The 20,532-nt window shown below is 36.6% G+C and overlaps 1 protein-coding gene, 1 long non-coding RNA gene and 1 pseudogene across 4 annotated transcripts in view; 1 reads left to right on the top strand and 2 right to left on the bottom strand.

Moving 5' to 3' along the window:
* Positions 1 to 20,532, bottom strand: part of ANKRD30B (ankyrin repeat domain 30B) — a 192,964-nt gene that overhangs the window by 43,460 nt on the left and 128,972 nt on the right. Inside the window, exon 47 of one of the 3 annotated variants that reach the window (XR_007066152.1) lies at positions 19,899 to 20,077. The exons of the other annotated variants lie outside the window; for them this stretch is intronic. The gene's annotated coding sequence lies outside the window, so the exon portion shown is untranslated. The remainder of the gene's footprint in view (positions 1 to 19,898; positions 20,078 to 20,532) is intronic. 3 annotated transcript variants of the gene reach the window in all.
* On the top strand, positions 7,585 to 11,980 carry FGF7P1 (fibroblast growth factor 7 pseudogene 1; annotated as a pseudogene).
* LINC01906 (long intergenic non-protein coding RNA 1906) lies at positions 13,626 to 19,878 on the bottom strand. The gene is made up of 3 exons (NR_170236.1): positions 19,745 to 19,878; positions 14,024 to 14,148; positions 13,626 to 13,843 (listed from the first exon to the last, which is right to left on the bottom strand). It is a non-coding gene; the product is annotated as a long intergenic non-protein coding RNA 1906 (long non-coding RNA).

The following is a 20,532-nucleotide window of genomic DNA, read 5'->3' as shown; positions in this document are numbered from 1 at the left end:
CTTTAATATTGATAGTGACAGTAAAATTTGAAAATAAAATATACAGATTAGCAGATATTTAACCAAAAAAATATTATGCTAACTTTATTTATTAAATTTATTAATTTTTTTCATAACATCTAAAATCAATTTGATTTTTTTTACTTTGTAACAATTCCCAAGAATGTACACAATTTGCAGAAAATTTACAGCTAGGGGCGGGCATGGTGGCTCATACCTGTAATCCCAACACTTTGGGAGGCTGAGGCAGGTGAATGACCTGAGGTCAGGAGTTTGAGACCAGCCTGGCCAACATGGCAAAACCGGGTCTCTACTAAAATTACAAAAATTAGGCGCGCGTGGTGGTGCATGCCTGTAATTGCAGCTACAGGGGAGGCTGAGGAACAAGAACTGCTTGAACCTGGGAGGTTCAAGACCCTTGACAATTTGGCCCTGACTCTTTTTCCACCCTCTCACTATTTTGTTACACTTCCTATTCCAGATATACAGCTCTAGTTTCAATCTTCTGAACACGACGTTTGAATCTTTGCTTCCATGGCCTTGCACATAGTACTTTTATCTCTCGATTAGCATGTTTCCATCTTTTCTACCTATGTCAACTCTATTCATCCATCAAGATCTAATTCAAGCTCTATCTATTCCTCACATCCTCCCTTGGCCACTTCTTTCTTCTGAATTCCTATTTATTTTCCTGTTTTTTTTTTTTTTTTGCAATTGGCATATACTGCTAGGTAGCACTCATTTTATTTTTTCTGTGGAAAGAAAAAATACTAACTGAATTTTTGTATATATTTATTAATATCCAGATAGGATATCATAATTAAAGTAATCAGATCAAGTTTCTAAAATATTACTGGCTCTTGTTTTCCATTCCCAAACACTTGAGAGATACTGTCCACTTAACAAGTGAAACAGTGGTCTGCATATCCAGCATTTGTAGCCTACAATCTCCAAAGTGTGTTTTTATTATGACCTTACTCCTCCTTACTGTCCATATTTCACAAAAAGAAGTTATCCATTGGGGAAGAAGATCTTAATCCATTACCAAAGACATTTTTAATAGTAATTAATAACAAATCCCATATGTTCTATATATTTGGGACATAAATAAATAATGTAAAATGTCGGTACAAATAGTTTCTCTACACTCAATGATATTATATTATTAAAGTCAGCTGCATTTAAAAATTAGTAGAATTTGTATTTTAGAACATTTTTAGATTTAAAAAAATAATTGAGCAGATAGGCCGGGCGCGGTGGCTCACCCCTATAATCCCAGCACTTTGGGAGGCCGAGGTGGGCAGATCACAAGGTCAGGAGATCGAGACCATCCTGGCTAACACGGTGAAACCTCGTCTCTACTAAAAATACAAAAAAGTAGCTGGGCGTGGTGGCGGGTGCCTGTAGTCCCAGCTATTCGGGAGGCTGAGGCAGGGAAATGGCACAAACCTGGGAGGCGGAGCTTGCAGTGAACCGAGATCACGCCACTGCACTCCAGCCTGGGCGACAGAGTGAGAGTGCCTCAAAAAAAAAAAAAAATGAGCAGATAATAGAGTCCCATAAACAATCTCCATTTCCCCCCACAGTTCCTCCATTATAAATATCTAGCATTAATGTGGCACATTTATCACAATAGATGAGCCAATATTTATTTATACCATCAGTTTATACTAAGGTCCACGCTTTGCTTTGTATAGTTCTATGAGTTCTGACAAATGTATATCGTGTATCCACTATTACAGTATTAAGCAGAATAGTTTCACTGATTTAAAAATCCCCTGTGATTCAGCTTTTCATCCTTTTTCTCCTCTCCTCAAGGCCCTTGCAACCACTGATCTTACTATCTCTAAAGTTTTGCCTTTGCCAGAATGTCATATGGCTGGAATCATACAGTATGTGGCTTTTTCAGACTGGTTTCTTTCACTTAGCAATATGTACTTAAGGTTCCCCTTGTCTTTTTGTGGCTTCACAGCTCAATACCTTTTTATTGCTAAATAATATTCCAATGTATACGTGTACCATAGTTTGTTTATCCATTTACCTATTGGATATGTTGGTTGCATCTGGTTTTTGATGATACGAATAAAGCTTCTATAAATAGTCATGTTCAGGTTTTTGTGTGGACATAAGTTTTCAATTCAATTGGGCAAATACCTGGGGGCATGACTGCTGGATTATATAGCATATTCAGTTTTTAAGAAACTGCCAAATTGTCTTCCCATGTGACTGCACCATTTTGCATTCCCACTAGTAATGAAAGAGTTTTGGTTGCTTTGCATCCTTGCCAGCGTACAGCACTGTCAGTTTTCTGGAGTTTAGTCATGCTAATAGTTGTATAGAGGTATCTCATTGTTGTTTTAATTTGCGATTCCTTTTTAAATAATTTCAACTTTTATTTTAGATTCAGGGGGTACATGTGCAGGTCTTTACCTGGGTATATTGTGTGATACTGAGGTTTGAGGTATGATTGCTCCCATCACCCAGGTACTGAGCATAGTACCTAATGGTTTTTCAACCCTTCCCTCATCTACTACCCGCCAGTAGTCCCCAGTGTCAGTTGTTGCCATCTTTATGTCCCTAAGTACCCAGTGTTTAGCTCCCACTTATAAGTGAAAACATGCAGTAGTTAGTTTTCTGTTCCTGTGTTAATTTGCTTAGGATAATGGCCTCCGGCTGCATCCATGTTGTAATTCCTTGATGATCTATGATATTGAGCATCTTTTCATCTGCTTATTTGCCCTTTGTGTATCTTTAGTGATGTGTCCAGATTTTGCCCACTTTTTAACTAGGTTTTTTTCTTATTGTTGTGTTTTCAGTGTTTTTTGTATATGTTGGATATATTGATATATTTTTTGCATATATGTATATGTTGGTGTATTTTAGTGACGTAAAATGAATGGAATCTATAGCCTTAAACATAATATAAATATATAATGGTTAAGATTTCCCACTCAACAATCCAGGCTTGACAGAAAATCATAAAATGTATTTAAATTTAAATGTTTTTTTCTTTGTTGATACTAGTTCTTAGTTTTAACATGCCGAAGAGGGTATACTTGATCAAGGACAAGATTAAATGTTCTGATTGGCTAAATATCAAACCACTGCCTCCACTTTTTTTTGCAACTTGAAAATAATATTTAGTTATCATGCTAGCACAGCCATATTAATATATACCCCTTCAAAACTTTAAACATAAAGCTTTAACAGTTTCAGGAAAAAGAAATATTAATGATGCTGAGATTGGTGGGCATGGATTCTGTGTAGTGAGACACTAAAAAGTAATTTTTAAAACAGAAAAGTTAAAGCACTTTAAAATCACAAAGCTATTGGTAATTAAAAAAGAATTAGTATCAATTTCTGAAATACAAGATTAGAGGGACACCTAAAATTCTGAAAGATTTCAGATAATTTTTTAAAAAAGTAATTGCAATTTAGATCAAAGTTCCCCACTTTTCATTCCAAGTGTGATACAGGTTTAAATAATAAACAGAAAAAAAAGTTTAGATAAATTCATGAATTATTGAACCAGACGATAAACAATAGGGAAGCTATTTAGGGCATAGTCTCTAGTGTGTAAGGGTGACATCCTAAATAATAAATTTATGCTATTGTTGACAATATTGCTGGCAAGGCTAAATGGTCAATGTGCTTGACATATTGCCTGGTTTTTCATGTTCTATTGCAAGAGCTGATTCTCTCTCTCTCTTTTATTTATATTTTTGAACTCTACCATTATGCTATCATGGACATTATGTTAACAATTTGATGCATCTATGTAATATGCTTTAAATCTTTGGGAATAAATTTACTGAGTGCTACTTATGTGAACAAACTTCTCTTAAGCACAAATGGAAATCCACAAAGAAAGACAGCCTCTTCTATTTGTTTTATGTGAGGCAACGGATACACTGTAGACAAAAAGACCAAGTATAATTAACTTATATTGTTAACTAACTTAATATCTGCATATTACATATTTTTCTATTATGCTTTCTGAGCAACTTCGTGGCTTCTGATTTGGAGGGTAGGATTTCATAGTTAATACTTTTTTTTTTTTTTGTGAGATGGAGTCTAGCTCTTGTTGTCCAGGCTGGAGTGCAATGGTGAAATCTCGGCTCACTGCAACCTCCGCATCCCAGGTTCAAATGATTCTCCTGACTCAGCCTCCCGAGTAACTGGGATTACAGACAGCCACCATCATGCCTGGCTAATTTTTGTATTTTTAGTAGAGATGGGGTTTCACCATATTTGCCAGGCTGGTCTTGAACTCCTGACCTCAGGTGATCCGCCTGCGTTGGCCTCCCAAAGTGCTGGGATTACAGGCGTGAGCCACTGCGCCCAGCCCATAGTTAACACTTCTATAAATATTTGTGCCTATTGAAAGGAACATCACTCCCCACACTGCAACTGAACAAAAGAGTGATAATGTTAATTGCTTTATTCTTGAGCTTTTCTTGAATAAAAGAGGGTCGTAGGATATGGAACAAAATAGACTAGAAAATAGGGTTGATAAGGTACTGATTCTGCCAATACTGCTTAATGCTCTCCCCAAGCAATTGTCTTTTAGATATGTTATTTCCCAGTGTGAATGGTGTTTTTTAAATATGTCAAGCAATTAAGAATATAAGTATATTCTCATCTCAGCTAAACGTAGAATCTTTACAAAGAATTTTTGGTATCCTTAACCCTAATATGTGGAGGGATAAGATTAAAAATGTTCACCACCTTATTTTTATTTATTTATTTATCTATTATTTTGAGACAGAGCCTCACTCCACCCTGACTGGAGTGCTGTGGTGTGACCTTGGCTCATTGCAACCTCTGCCTCCCAAGTTCAAGTGATTCTCCTGCCTCAGCCTCTCAAGTAGCTAGAATTATAGGAATTCACCACCATGCCCAACTAATTTTTTTTTTTTTTTTTTTTTTTTTTGGTGAAACAGAGTCTCACTCTGTTGCCTAGGCTAGAGGGCAGTGGCACCGTTTTGGCTCACTGCAGCCTCCACCTTCTGGGTTCAAGCAAGTCTCCTGCCTCAGCCTCCTGAGTATCTGGGATTACAGGCACCCACCACCACACCCGGATAATTTTTTGTATTTTTAGTAGAAACGGGGTTTCGCCATGTTGGCCAGGTTAGTATTGAACTCCTGACCTCAAGTGATCTGCCTGACTCAGCCTCCCAAAGTGCTGGGATTACAGGTGTGAGCTACCACATCCAGCCATCACCTCTTGTAAAGTGCAGTAAAGAAATAGTGGGCAATAGACAGGCAGGGGATAGAGGAAAATGTTTTGGGAGTGGGACAATATGAACTTATTGTCATGACAGGACCAAAAAGGGAAGATGTCTGCCTATCATAATTAATAATAACTCTATCAGTCAACATTTATGTTTTACAATTGTTCTGTAAAAGAAAAGCCAGCAAATATTACAGATTCCAGTCCCTAATAACTGATCATGAAAGACACTCTAAGCTTGTGCATCAGCATTCTCTTTTTATCTAAAAGAAAATATATTAAATAAAGGGAGGAATGGCAGGAGTAAAGAGACTTGAAGGAAAAGAAAATATTGACTTCTTAATGATATTTTACAATGCTAAGACCTTTAGAAACCAACTACTCCATTTGTCTTTTAAATATTAGTTTGGTGCAAAGGTAATTACAGTTTTTGTCATAAAAGTAATGGCAAAAGCCACAATTACTTTTGCACCAACCTAACTGATACATTTATTCCATTTTGGAGGTATTGCAAATATGCTGAATCAATGAATTTATTCAGTATTTTTCATTGTATTAGTACAAATTTAACCTAATAGTATTCTTCTGCATGTTATTTCCCTTTGTGCTTCCTTTAATGCAATGAAGCTGTAGTTACCAAATAGAGTGCTCTAAAAGGGCAAGGCTTGTCTGTGAATTGAGCCTAGCATAGAATTGGCTCTCAGTGAAGATCTGTTGAACATTACATGAATGCATCAACATCATAATCCTTCATGTGCTTGTAAGCAATTATTAAAATTTTCTCTAGCCTATTCAGGCCTGTGTTCTTCAAAATTCTCCAAAATATATGGACGTGTTTGCTGTTTCTATTAGGTTTTAACTTCTGGTGTCAGAAACCAGGGCTGTTTTTCTTAATTTGTGTCCTAAAACCACAGTAGGGTTGTATGCATTGTGATAATGCTTAATAAATATATAAAAAGATTAATATCCATTCATTTACATTTTCTTAAACCCAATTTCTGGATGAGTAGCTGTGAAACTCTCAACTGGATGAGCTCTGACTAGTGTTAAGTATAGTATATTGGGAACAGGGCTTTATATGCAACATATATGTGAGGCAAATGAGAAATATTAGCTGGGCTACATTAAATCCCAATGACATGAATAGAAATTTTATTATCCAGGTAGCAAAAATGAAGTCAAAAAAATAAATAAGAGAATGAAGTGAAGGTATGGGGCAAAACAATTAGTTTTTTCTTTAAGTCAATATTTTAGAAAATAGCTTCTGAAGGCCCAATCACACAGATAATTGACACTTCGACTTTTCTTTGCACTGTGTTAGACATAGGTAAAAGAATGTCTCAGCACTATACCTTCATGTAGAAAATGTAATTAATAGCAAATTGCATAAAAGTACGCTAAAATTTTAATTCTTACATCATTTTAATAAATTTCTTGAGATTTTACTTTATTTAGTGTGTCATTAAAATACAGGATTTAAGGAAGATATATGTAATAAAGGAAAATAGTAAGTTACCATTCTTATGCAAACATGTTTTGTAAATACTATTTCAACAAAGATTTAAAAGTTAATTACAAAGGTATAAAGTTATGAAGTATTATATAAACCGGATTCATAATTTTGTTTTAAATGGTCTTTTCATGTATCAAAATACTATCAGTTTAAAACAATCTCTTTTTTTAAGGTAGTAGGCTCTGTTTACCATCATTTACAATTGCTTTAATTAGAATTTTCTTCACTTTCAGTACATTCAAGAGCTATTCTGTTAGCCATAATTTTTAAGATAAAGTTTATCCAAATAGAAAAGTAATTATATAATGATTAAGAGCCAGAATGTCTGGGTTCAAATTCCAGTTCTGCTACTTCTCAGGTATAAGAATTTGGGCAAATTTCTTAGTTTCTCTGTGCTTCAGTTTCCTGATCTGTAAAACTGGGATAACAAGACTACCTGCCTCAATCTGTGGTTATGAGTAAATGAGTTAATACATAAGAGCAATGCAATAATCCTTGGCATGTGGTATGAGTTCAATAAACATTAGCTATTATTATTATAGTAAATTAGAAATTTAATTCTAGAGAATAAAAAGCTGAACTCAAATATGTAACTATTTATTTGATACAGACATATTTTCTACAAAATAAAAAACCGTCAGTTTGCACTTCCCTTATATAATGACTATTCTGGTGTTTGTGTGTATGTGTTGTGGGTCGGAGTCTTGGGCTGTGTAAATAATCACATTAAAAATTTTAAAAACTTCCGATTAAAACAGAAATAAGAACAAATGGCCATTCATGGATCATTGGCAAAGCTGAACGAATACCTGACATGTCTTTCTGTGATTCCTTGAATATATCATGGAAATCAGGACAGTGGCAGTTGGGATTGTGGCAATCAAAGGGGTGGAAAGTGAATTCTATCTTGCAATGAATGAGGAAGGAAAACTCTACGCAAAGGTATTGATAATTGATCGCTTAGGCTTAATTTTTAAAACTCATTTTTGTCGAAATATCTCACCATTCTGAAAAGGAAAAATGGACTTAATTTATCTCCAACTGTGTAATATAATGATTTTATTAAAACACTTTATACTCAAACGTTAAGAAAAAATGTTTTCTGTGTGACTTTGGACAAATGGCTTGTTCTTTGGATTTTGGTTTCTTCATCTGTAAAATGAGTTGAATCAGCTGACCTCTAAGGATCCTTCCAGCTCTAAAATTCCATGTGCATTTTAGATATTTAAAATCCAAAATTTCCATTTGCCAGTATTAAAGCTCTTTTTGTTAAAGTTCACCCAATTTGCACATTGCTGACATGAAAATTCTTGGGAAAAAATCTTGAAATGTTTAGTTCATTCATCAACATCAATCTCACAATCATGGGCTTTGAACTGTAATTATTCACATTGTTCCCACTTCACTACAATGCAAAATATGTAACAGTTCATCCCACTGTAATAAAATATAATTGGCTTTCCCTTTGTATTCCCAGAGCTCAGTATAATGCCTGGAACAGGCTAATTATATAATGATACAGGTTTAATTGAATGAACAAATGGTTGCATGGATGAACAAACAAATTAACCTTGTATCTTCCATTACCATTGAAGACAATGTAGAAGTAAATAAAGAAAAGTTATGAAACAAGTCTCTCACCTGAGGGAGGCAGATGTTCTGCTAGTTATACCAAATTTCCAGTGGTTAAAGAATGAGTGATATGGGAATAGTAATATGAGGCCTGTTACTTAGGGGGAAATAGGTCCTAATTTTAAAGAATAGTTGACATGAACTTCCAAAAAGCTACACATATTTCATAACTAGCTGTGTATTATGTGGTGTTTTTATTTCAAATTTAAGATACCTTTTTATGCAAATATACTACATAAGTATAGCTAACAATCCACATTAGGCCTGCTCAATCTGAGGGTTAAAAAAAGTTGTGTATGTTTCAATTCTAACAAATATTACCTGCTTACTCTTCGTTTAATTGAGCCTCTCTAAAAATCATTTGGAACATGTTTGTTTGTTTGTTTGTTTGTTTTAACAGAAAGAATGCAATGAAGATTGTAACTTCAAAGGACTAATTCTGGAAAACCATTACAACACATATGCCTCAGCTAAATGGACACACAATGGAGGGGAAATGTTTGTTGCCTTAAATCAAAAGGGGATTCCTCTAAGAGGAAAAAAAATGAAGAAAGAACAAAAACAGCCCACGTTCTTCCTATGGCAATAACTTAATTGTATATGGTATATAAAGAACCAGTTCCAGCAGGGAGATTTCTTTAAGTGGACTGTTTTCTTCTCAAAATTTTCTTTCCTTTTATTTTTTAGTAATCAAGAAAGGCTGGAAAACTACTGAAAAACTGATCAAGCTGGACTTGTGCATTTATGTTTGTTTTAAGACACTGCATTAAAGAAAGATTTGAAAAGTATACACAAAAATCAGATTTAGTAACTAAAGGTTGTACAAAATTGTAAAACTGGTTGTACAATCATGATGTTAGTAATAGTGATTTTTTTAAATTAATTTACCCTTAAGAGTATGTTACATTTGATTACCTGATAATGATTATTTAAACATTCCTATCTGCTTATAAAATGGCTGCTATAATAATAATAATGCAGATGATGTTACATAAGGTATATCAGACCTACAGGCTGCTGGCAGGATTTGTCAGATAATCAAGCCACACTAACTTTGGAAAATGAGCAGCATTTTAAATGCTTTCTAGTGAAAAATTATAATCTACTTAAACTCTAATCAGAAAAAAAGAATATTCTCAAAAAAATCTATTATGAAAGTCAATAAAATAGATAATTTAACAAAAGTACAGGATTAGAACATGCTTATACCTATTAACAAGAACAAAATTTCTAATGCTGCTCAAGTGGAAAAGGTATTGCTAAAAGGATGTTTCCAAAAATCTTGTATATAAGATAGCAACAGTGATTGATGATAATACTGTACTTCATCTTACTTGCCACAAAATAACATTTTATAATTCCTCAAAGTAAAATTGAGAAATCTTTAAGTTTTTTTCAAGTAACATAATCTATCTTTGTATAATTCATATTTGGGAATATGGCCTTTAATAATGTTCTTCCCACAAATAATCATGCTTTTTTCCTACGGTTACAGCATTAAACTCTATTTTAAGTTGTTTTTGAATTTTATTGTTTTGTTATTTAAGTTTATTTTATTTATTAAAAAACTTTAATAAGCTGTATCTGTTTCATATGCTTTTAATTTTAAAGGAATAACAAAACTGTCTGGCTCAACTGCAAGTTTCCTTCCCCTTTGTGACTGACACTAAGTCTAGCACACAGCACTTGGGCCAGCAAATCCTGGAAGGCAGACAAAAATGAGAGCCTGAAGCAATGCTTACAATAGATGTCTCACACAGAACAATACAAATATGTAAAAAATCTTTCACCACATATTCTTGCCAATTAATTGGATCAGATAAATAAAATCATTACAAATATAAATATTTACAGGATTTTAAAGTTAGAATATATTTGAATGCATGGGTAGAAAAGTATCATATTTTAGAACTATGTATATTTAAATTTAGTAATTTTCTAATCTTTAGAAATCTCTCCTGTTCAAAAGGTGGCAACACTGAAAGTTGTTTTCCTGTTAGATGCAAGAGCACAATGCCCAACATAGAAGATACAGTTAGGAATAAGGGGCCCTGAATGTCATGAAGGCTTGAGGTCAGCCTACAGATAACAGGATTATTACAAAGATGAATTTCCACTTCCAAAGTCTTTCATAGGCAGATCTTGGTAGCACTTTATATGTTCACCAATGGGAGGTCAACATTTATCTAATTTAAAAGGTTTGCTAACCATTGTGGTTTTAATTTCAAAATATTTGTCATTCAAGTCCCTTTACATAAATAGTATTTGGTAATACATTTATAGATGAGAGTTATATGAAAAGGCTAGGTCAACAAAACAATAGATTCATTTAATTTTCCTGTGGTTGACCTATACGACCAGGATGTAGAAAACTAGAAAGAACTGTCCTTCCTCAGATATACTCCTGGGAGAGAGCATGAATGGTATTCTGAACTATCACCTGATTCAAGGACTTTGCTAGCTAGGTTTTGAGATCAGGATTCAGTAACTGTAGTCTTGTGAGCATATTGAGGGCAGAGGGGGACTTAGTCTTTCATATGTGTTTCCTTAAGTGCCTACCAGACTATCTGTTCATAATCAGTTTTCAGTGTGAATTCATTGAATGTTTATAGACAAAAGAAAATACATAATAAAACTAATCTTCATTTTGAAAGGATAAAACATGACTACACAGAAACTTAAATAGAAATAGTGTATATACATATAAAATACAAGCTATGTTAGGACCAAATGCTCTTTGTCTATGGAGTTATACCAATTACATAGCAATGCTGAATTAGGCAAAACCAATATTTAGTAGTAAATCCATTCCTGGTAGTATAAATCACCTAAAAAAGACTTCTAGAAATATGTACCTTAATTATTTGTTTTTCTCCTATTTTTAAATTTATTATGCAAATTTTAGAAAATAAAATTTGCTCCAGTTACACACACTTAGAATTCTAGAATCTTAAAACTGTAAGGGGCCTCCATCCCTCTTAATCATTTGTAGTCTGGGAGATCAAGATTTTGATAAACCTAAGGTCATGCAGCTGGGTAGATATACAACTGTCACAAGAGTCTAGATCAGTTGGCACATGCTTTCTACACTAGATCATTAGTATTATTAGCTAATGGTCTTCTGTATTTTTTTGTTTTTGATTTCTATTGAGATATAGCCTTCACATTTGTACACAAATGTGACTATGTCTTGGCAATGCACTTCATACAGAATGACTAATCTATACTGTGATGATTTGACAAAAAGGAGAAAAGAAATTACGTAGTTTTCAATTCAGATTCCTATTCACCTTTTGTTTATGAATGGAAAGCTTTGTGCAAAATATACATATAAACAGAGTAAGCCTTTTAAAAATGTTCTTTGAAAGATAAAATTAAATACATGAGTTTCTAACAATTAGAAAGGAAAAAATTAAAATATGAAATGATAACAAAAGTAAACAGAAGATACTTTCAAAGCAGTGAACAAAACATTTTGACATAAGCCATAATATAAATTATAATATAAAAATATAAAAACCATAGTATAAGTTGTCAGCCTTTGAGTTGGCTACAAATTCAATTTAATGACAGAAGAGAAGGGATGCTGGAGGTAAATTCTTAGGGTTTCTATCTCATAGAGTTTGCTCTTCTGGTTCTCTAGACTGCCAAAGAACATAAAGATGTACGAGGGGACCTAGCTGTAGTAAAAGCATTCCTATAACAACAAAAACTCTAAAACGGTGCCCCTCACTATTTTCTACTGAAATTTCTCTAATAGTAGAGGTATAAAATATGAAGTTAGAGAATAATGCAAAGGGGGCCCACCACAGACAGCACATTTCTTTTCTCTTAAGACTCATGTGATTTTTGCATCTTACTCCATAATGTATTAGTGGTTGCATTAATATGACAATGACTGCAATTAAACACCAGTAAGCAAAATTGATACCTCAGAATGACTTGCAGGGCTTATCATGCAGTTTCATTTACATCCCTACCCCACTGCCATTTACTTGAGCATGAATGATACATGAGAAAGTCTTTGCCTCCCATAATCCAACTTTACACATAAATAACACAAGGCTAAAGAAAACCAGAACTCAAATTCACCATGCATAGGAGTGATAACTAAAATATTTAACAGTCAGTATAGGTGATTACTGGCCAATCAGAATACATCACTGATATATCGAAATGGATGCAGGCCACTGTGACTAACTTGTGGGTATCATTTCTATGATCACCTTAAAACAGAGTTGGGAAAATATCTATTAACTGGTCTCTCTGGTTTGAATTCTCAATATGTATCTTAATATGAAATAGCTCATTAAAACTTCATGTGTAACTATTTGAGCATTGTTGTCAGCTACTCTTTATTCCACTTCTGTACAGTATTTATTCAACCAAGCTGCTGCTTTCAATGAAGGTCACTTGTTCCTTCAGGGACACATATACTCCCACCTATCCTTTAATTTTGAATGGTTTGTCAAGAAAATTTACTTTCTCTTGAGTTGAAAAGACTTGACAGGAAGCAAGAAATAATATAGTCCTAGCCTCTTTCCAGTAACATCTGATTTCTCCATTCTCAAACTACACTTCTCAGGGAACCAGATATTTACTCTCATCTGGGAAGATGTCTCTTATGTTTTCCTTTTACTTCCTGGTTTTCATGTGGTTGCATTTTCCAAATTCTTATCATTGAATTTATGAGAGCCTATCCAAATTTATTTTCTTTCATTTATATTCTAATAATTGAAATGTGAGATGAAAATAACATTTCACTTATGAAAAACCCTTCTCTTATTGAATCCTTCCATGTGGTAGTTATCTATTGCTGTGTAACAAATTAAAACTTAATGGCTTGAAACAAATATTTGTTTTCTCATAGTTTATGTGGCTCATGAGCCTGGACACAGTTCAGCACAGTGTTTTTGTTCAGAATTCCTCATGAGGTGCAATCAAGGTGTAGCCAGGGCTGTAGTCATCTATCTCAATATTCAACTCAGAAAGGGATCCACCTTAGATCCTCACTGGCTGTTATCAGGACCTATCACTTCCTTACCACATGGACCTCTCCATAGCACTGCTTACAATATTACAGTCTGTTTCCCACGAAGCAAGAAATCAGAGTGTGAGATAAAGTACCCAAAATGGAAGCCACAGGTTTGTTTGTTTGTTTGAATATATATAACCTAGTTTCAAAAGTGATGTTACCTCTGCCTACACTCATGAGGAGGGTATTATACAAAGGCATACATACCAGAGAGCAGGGATCACTGGAAGCCATTTTACAGGCTGCCTAATCCAAGTCATAAACTAGATGTTTTTAATGTCACTGCCATAAACTGGGATTCTACAGGGTCTAATAAGAGAAATTCATGGCTTTCAGTGGGGATCCATTCAGCAGAGAAAGAGATGAAATATGTATATTCTCTGTGGAAACATTCTTGATTCTTCCTTGAAGGATACTGCATGGTCCATTCCTACACAGGATAATTAAGAAAAGGTTTGAACCAATCTGGACTTCCTATTAGCCTGAGATGTGGCTACTTAGAACTCCCAATGTACCTGGAAAACTAACAATATGCCTTTGCCTCCACATGAAGCAAATTACCCTGCCATCAGACTCAACATGAAGATAATCCTCCCTTTGGCTGCCCTACCTCAAGAGAATAAGATCATAGATTCCAGCTGGAATTCCTCTGGGCCATAGAGTGTTTTGTTCTAGATGCTGAAGGCAATCAGCCACCATTTACCCAAGACCGTCTGAGAATAAGACCTAAAAAGACTTGAAAACAATTGATTTCAATGGTAGGTACACACTGGTATCCCCTGTTCCGTATATATCTATAGATATATAGATATATACAGAACAGGAGATATATATAGATATATATATATATATATATATATATAGAGAGAGAGAGAGAGAGAGAGAGAGAGAGACAGACAGACAGAGAGAGAGAAAGAGAGAGAGAGACAGAGAGAGAGAGAGACACCTAGGCCCCAAATCAGGCCAATTACATCAGTGTATATGACAGGTGGCCCATGCAGTGGTATTTTAAAAATTCCCCAGAAGATTCTAATGTGCCTCTGTAGTTGAGAACTAATTAGGTAAATGCAAACAACAACAAAAACCAAAAAACCTCTTCAGAAACTATGCCTGCTTCTTCATCTTTGTCTCTTCTTTAAACACCTTGAAAGGGCTTATTCCCTCCCAGCCCTTCCTGCCCCTAGGTTTTCCTAGATGCCTCCGTATTTTCTGCTATGCACAACTGGGGCTCACAGGAAATGTAGGCACTAGAAAGAGAGTTACAATTGTTTTTGCATCAGAATGATTATGGAATAGAAAAAAGCATTTCATGCAAATGGACACCAAAAGCGAGCAGCAGTAGCTATTCTCATATGAGACAAAACAAACTTTAAAGCAACAGTAGCTAAAAGAGACAAAGACAGGCAGTATATAATGGTAAAGGTCTCATCCAACAGAAAAATATGACAATCCTAAACATACATGGACCTAACACTGGAGCTCCCAAATTTATAAAACAATTACTAGTAGACATAAGAAATGAGATAGACAGAAACACAATGATAGTGGGGGACTTCAATACTCCACTGACAGCACTAGACAGATCATCAAGACAGAAAGTCAACAAAGAAACACTGGATTTAAACTATACTTTGGAACAAATGGACTTAACAGATATATACAGAACATTTCATCCAACAACCACAGAATACACATTCTATTCAACAGCACATGGAATTTTCTCTAAGATAGACCATATGATAGGCCATAAAACAAGTCTCAGTAAATTGAAGAAAATTGAAATTGTATCACGCACTCTCTCAGATCACAGTGGAACAAAACTGAAAATCAACTCCAAAAGGAATCTTCAAAACCATGCAAATACATGGAATTTAAATAACCTGCTCCTGAATGAGCATTGGGTGAAAAACGAAATCACGATGGAAATGTAAAAAATTTCTTCGAACTGGATGACACAACCTATCAAGACCTCTGGGATACAGCAAAGGCAGTGCTAAGAGGAAAGTTTGTAGCCCTAAACACTGATGTCAAAAAGTCTGAAAGAGCACAAACAGACAATCTAAGTTCACATCTCAGGGAACCAGAGAAGCAGGAACAAGCCAAACCCAATCCCAGCAAACAAAGGAAATAACCAAGATCAGAGCAGAACTAAATGAAATTGACACAAGAACAACAACAACAAATACAAAACATAAATAAAGCAAAAAGTTGGTTATTTGAAAAGATAAATAAAATCGATAGACCATTAGCAAGATTAACCAAGAAAAGAAGAGAGAAAATCCAAATAACCTCACTAAGAAATGAAACAGGGGATATTACAACTGACACCACTGAAATATTAAAGGTTATTCAAGGGTACTATGAACACCTTTTGGCACATAAACTAGAAAACCTAGAAGAGTTGGATAAACTGCTGGAAAAATACAACCCTCCTAACTTAAATCAGGAAGAATTAGATACCCCAAGCAGACCAATAAATCAAGCAGCAAGATTGAAATGGTAATTTTAAAATTTCCAAAAAAAAAAGCCGAGGACCAGACAGATTCACAGCAGAATTCTACCAGACATTCAAAGAATGTCTTCTTTCATTCAAAGAAGAAATGATACCAATCCTTTCACACTATTCCACAAGACAGAGAAAGAAGAAACCCTCCCCGATTCATTCTATGAAGCCAGCGTCACCCTAGTACCAAAACCATGAAAGAACATAACCAAAAAAGAAAACTACAGACCAATATCCTTGATGAACACAGAAGCCAAAATCCCTAACAAAATACTATCTAACTGAATCCAACAACATATCAAAAAGATAATCCACCATGATCAAGTGTGTTTCATACCAATGATACAGGAATGGTTTAACATATGCAAGTCAATAAATGTGATACACCAAATAAACAGAATTAAAAAAACTCACACGATTATATCAACAGATGCAGAAAAAGCATTTGACAAAATCTAGCATTGCTTTATGATTAAAGCTCTCAGCAAAATAGGCATACAAGGGACATACCTTAATGTAATAAAAGCCATCTAGGACAAACCCACAGCCAACATAATACTGAATGGGGAAAAGGTGAAAGCATTCCCTTTGAGAACTGGAGCAAGATGAGGAACCTACTCTCACCACTCCTCTTCAACATAGTACTGGAAGTCCTAGCCAGAGCAATCAGACAAAAGAAGGAAATAGAGGAAATCCAAATCGGTAAAGAGGAAGTCAAACTGTCACTGGTTGCTGACGATATGACCTTTCTCCTTGAGAACCCTACGGACTCCTCTAGAAAGCTCCTAGAACTGATAAAAGAATTCAGCAAAGTTTCCAGATACAAGATTAATGGACACAAATCAGTAGCTCTTCTATACATCAACAGCTACCAAGCAGAGAATCACATCAAGAACTCAATCCCTTTTACAATAGCTGCAAAAAACAAACAAAAATAAAACAACAAAACTGAGGAATATACCTAGCAAAGGAATCAAAAGACCTCTACAGTGAAAATTACAAAACAATGCTGAAAGAAATCATAGAGGGAGCCAAGCACGGTGGTGCATGCCTATAATCCCAGCTACTCGGGAAGCTGAGGCAGGAGAATCACTTGAACCCAGTAGGCAGAAGTTGTAGTGAGCCAAGATCACACCATTGCACTCCCACCTCAGCGACAAGAGCGAAACTCCCCCTGAAAAAAAAAAAAAAAACCAAGAAAGAAAAGAAATCATAGACGACACAAACAAATGGAAACGCATCCCCATGCTCTTGGATGGGTAGAACCAATATTGTGAAAATTACCATTCTGTTAAAGGCAATCTACAAATTCAATGCAATCCCCATCTGAATACCACCGTCATTCTTCACAGAATTACAAAAACAATTCTAAAATTAATATGGAACCAAAAGAAAGCCATGTAGCCAGACCAAGGCTAAGCAAAAAGAACAAACCTGGAGGCATCACATTACTTGATTTCAAACTGTACAATAAGGCCATAGTTAGCAAAACAGCATGGTACTGGTTTAAAAATAGGCACATAGACCAATGGAACAGAAGAGAGAACCCAGAAATTAACCCAAATACTTACAGCCAACTGATCTTCGACAAAGTAAACAAAAACGTAAAGTGGGGAAAGGACACCCTTTTCAACACATGATGTTGGGATAATTGGCGAGCCACATGTAGGGGAATAAAACTGGATTCTCATCTCTCACCTTATACAAAAATCTACTCAAGATGGATTAAGAACTTAAACCTAATTCCTGAACCATAAAAATTCTACAAGATAACACTGGATAAACCCTTCTAGACATTGGTATAGGCAAGGATTTCATGAGCAAGAACCCAAATGCAAATGCAATAAAAACAAAGATAAATAGCTGGGACTTAATTAAACTAAAGAGCTTCTGCATTGCAAAGGAAACAGTCAGCAGAGTAGACAACCCACAAAGTGGGACCCCTGACCCTGACCCCTGACCCTGACCCTTAACCCCTGACCCTGACCCCTATCCCCTGACCCTAACCCCTAACCCCTAACCCTGGACCCTTAACCCTAACCCCTAACCCCAACCCTCACCCTCACCCTAACCCCTAATCCCAAACCACTAACCTCTCTTAACCCCTAACTCTAAACGTTGACTCCTAACCCTTAACTCTGACCCTAACTCCTATCTCCAACCCCTAAACCCTAAATTTAACCCCTAACCCCTAACCCTAACACCAACCTTAACCCTAGGTTCGTTACTACATTTGTATTGACTATGTCAATGTTGATTGTTATGATCGCTGTCTTAGGACTGCACGGCAGCGAGGGGATTGCGGATCTTATATTAATATTTTTGTATTGAGGCAGTGCATTAGCATTACAGGTGCTTGTTATATGAGCGATGGGGGTGTCATATTTTGGGTGTCATGTCTGCATTAGGAATGCTGCATTTGTCTTCCGAGGCTGTGGTGTGGATCTTGCACTGTGGCCGCCTCGCCTTGGCTGGGGAGAACCTCGGTGGGCAGGATTCAGAGGGGCTTTTGGTTTCCCGTTTTCCACACTGAACCCTTCTAACTGGTCTCTGACCCTGATTATTCAGGGCTGCAAACTGGAAGGATTTTATTCACTGTCGATGTGGCCCCGAGTTGTCCCAAAGCGAGGCAGTGCCCGCAAGGTCTGTGCTGAGGAGAACACTGCTCTGCCTTCGCGGTGTCCCCCGGGTCTGTGCTGAGCAGAACGCAGCTGCACCCTCGCGGTGCCCCCGGCCTGCCTGCCTGCCCAGGTCTGTGCTGAGGAGAACACTGCTCTGCCTTTGCTATATCTCCGAAGTCTGTGCAGAGGAGAACTCAGCTCCGCCCTCGCAAGAGGGTGACTGGGTAGCTGATGAATGGCAGCCCCTCCTGCCTGAATGCCCTCTATTGCTGGGCATTGCTGCACAGCACCTTTTTCCTGGCCTTAATACTTACTTAACAATCTTTTAGAAAGCTCCACGCCTAACACTGAATCTTAAAATGTGACATTCTTCCTATAAAATCAATAGTTAAACCACATTTTGTAAACTCATACCAAAATAGAAACCCAGGAAAAGAAGCACCCCTTTTGTCCTCTATTTTAATAATAAGAGGGAAAGGGGGCTGGGATAAAGGGAACGGCTGCCCTTTCTGTGTGTGGAAAGCTATAATTTAAATATGCACACCAGATTTTCAAGCAGCACACTCTAAAGCATCAGCCCTGTTATTCGGATGATGGAGTTTGCAGACTTTCTGTTTGCCCTCCTCTTGCTTTTCCCACCTTTGGGGCTTTTCACTGTCCCCAGAAACCCAACCTTAGAATCGAGAAAGAAGGCAAAGACCGTATCTAATAGACTCATAAGCTCCTTATTAATAATAGTGCAGTAAAGTGTAAATGGGGTAGGTGCCTTTTTTTGCAAAACAAAGTTTCTAGATTCTCTGTGTTGCATTTAGCCAGGCCCTCATTTCTAACCACAGGGTAGATAATCAAGTTAACAAAGACCGCGTTTTGTCCTTCTATTTCCATATGGACGTCATGTTTCACACTGCACTACTATCTGCTCGGTTCCACAAAGGGAGAGTATCCACTGAGTGCATTTTAAATGTTCTTTGACTGCTTGTGTTTTCAAAAGCACAGCACACGAGCATCTCGGTCAAGATGAGCTGGTAGGACCTCTCCTGACACCCTATTCCCTCACAGTGGACTTCTCACTGGCAACCTCCACTTTTGCTGCTTAGCTCAGTGTGTCTCTGCAAATAGGCATGTTTAAGCAAAGAATAAATGCCTAAGGCGATGCAGGTGGGTAGCAGGGGAGAGTCAGGGAGACAAAAAGAACAGTAGCACTTACATGGAGCTCTGCCAGCTTTTGGGCTAACAGGGTCACGAACAGATCAGGAACCTGAGGCAATCAAAGGACTTCACCCCACAAAGCCAGGGCTCTCTCAGGAGCTGGAAAACCCAGGAGAATTTCCACATATTCCTGAGAGTTCCTCGTGCATTACCTTTAGTGCCTCATTAGCAGGAATGGGTCCTTCTGTGGCTTCACCAGATTGTTTCGCAGTAGAAAGAGGACAGACCAAGGAGCCCCAGTCCCACCTGTGACCTCAGGCAGTCACCTGACACCTCTGAGCCTCAGTTTTCTCATCTGTTCAGTGGGGATGGTATATTTCTCCTTACAGGGCTGTGGAAAGGACAACATAATCTTACACAGAAAAAGTAGTACTAAGCTAACATTGGTTGAGTGCCTATTACATTCTACACAACGCGCTAAGTACTTTGCATATTTTGTCTCATTGAATTCTGATGACAACCCTGTGAAGTAGGAACTCTTACTATCCCCCATGCTATGGATGCAGAAACTGGGGCTCAGAGCAGTTAAGTACCTGGCCAAAGGCCAGAAAGTCAACTAGAATTGATGTGTCCATTTTCATTCATTCATTCATTCATTCATTCATTCATTCATTCATTCATCATTTATTGAGTACCCGTTCCATGCCAGGCAATGAGAAGCAAATCACAAATACTCCCTGCCCCATGGCACTGACAGTCTTGTTACTGCAAAGTACAAGGTGCAGAGTAAGTGGAAGTCAAATCAGATTCCAACTTCTACTCAATTCCCAGTAGGCCCCAGACTAA

The sequence above is a fragment of the Homo sapiens genome, chromosome 18 (genome assembly GCF_000001405.40).
Source record: "Homo sapiens chromosome 18, GRCh38.p14 Primary Assembly".
Lineage (NCBI taxonomy): Eukaryota > Metazoa > Chordata > Mammalia > Primates > Hominidae > Homo > Homo sapiens.
This window is presented reverse-complemented; position numbering and strand designations above follow the sequence as displayed.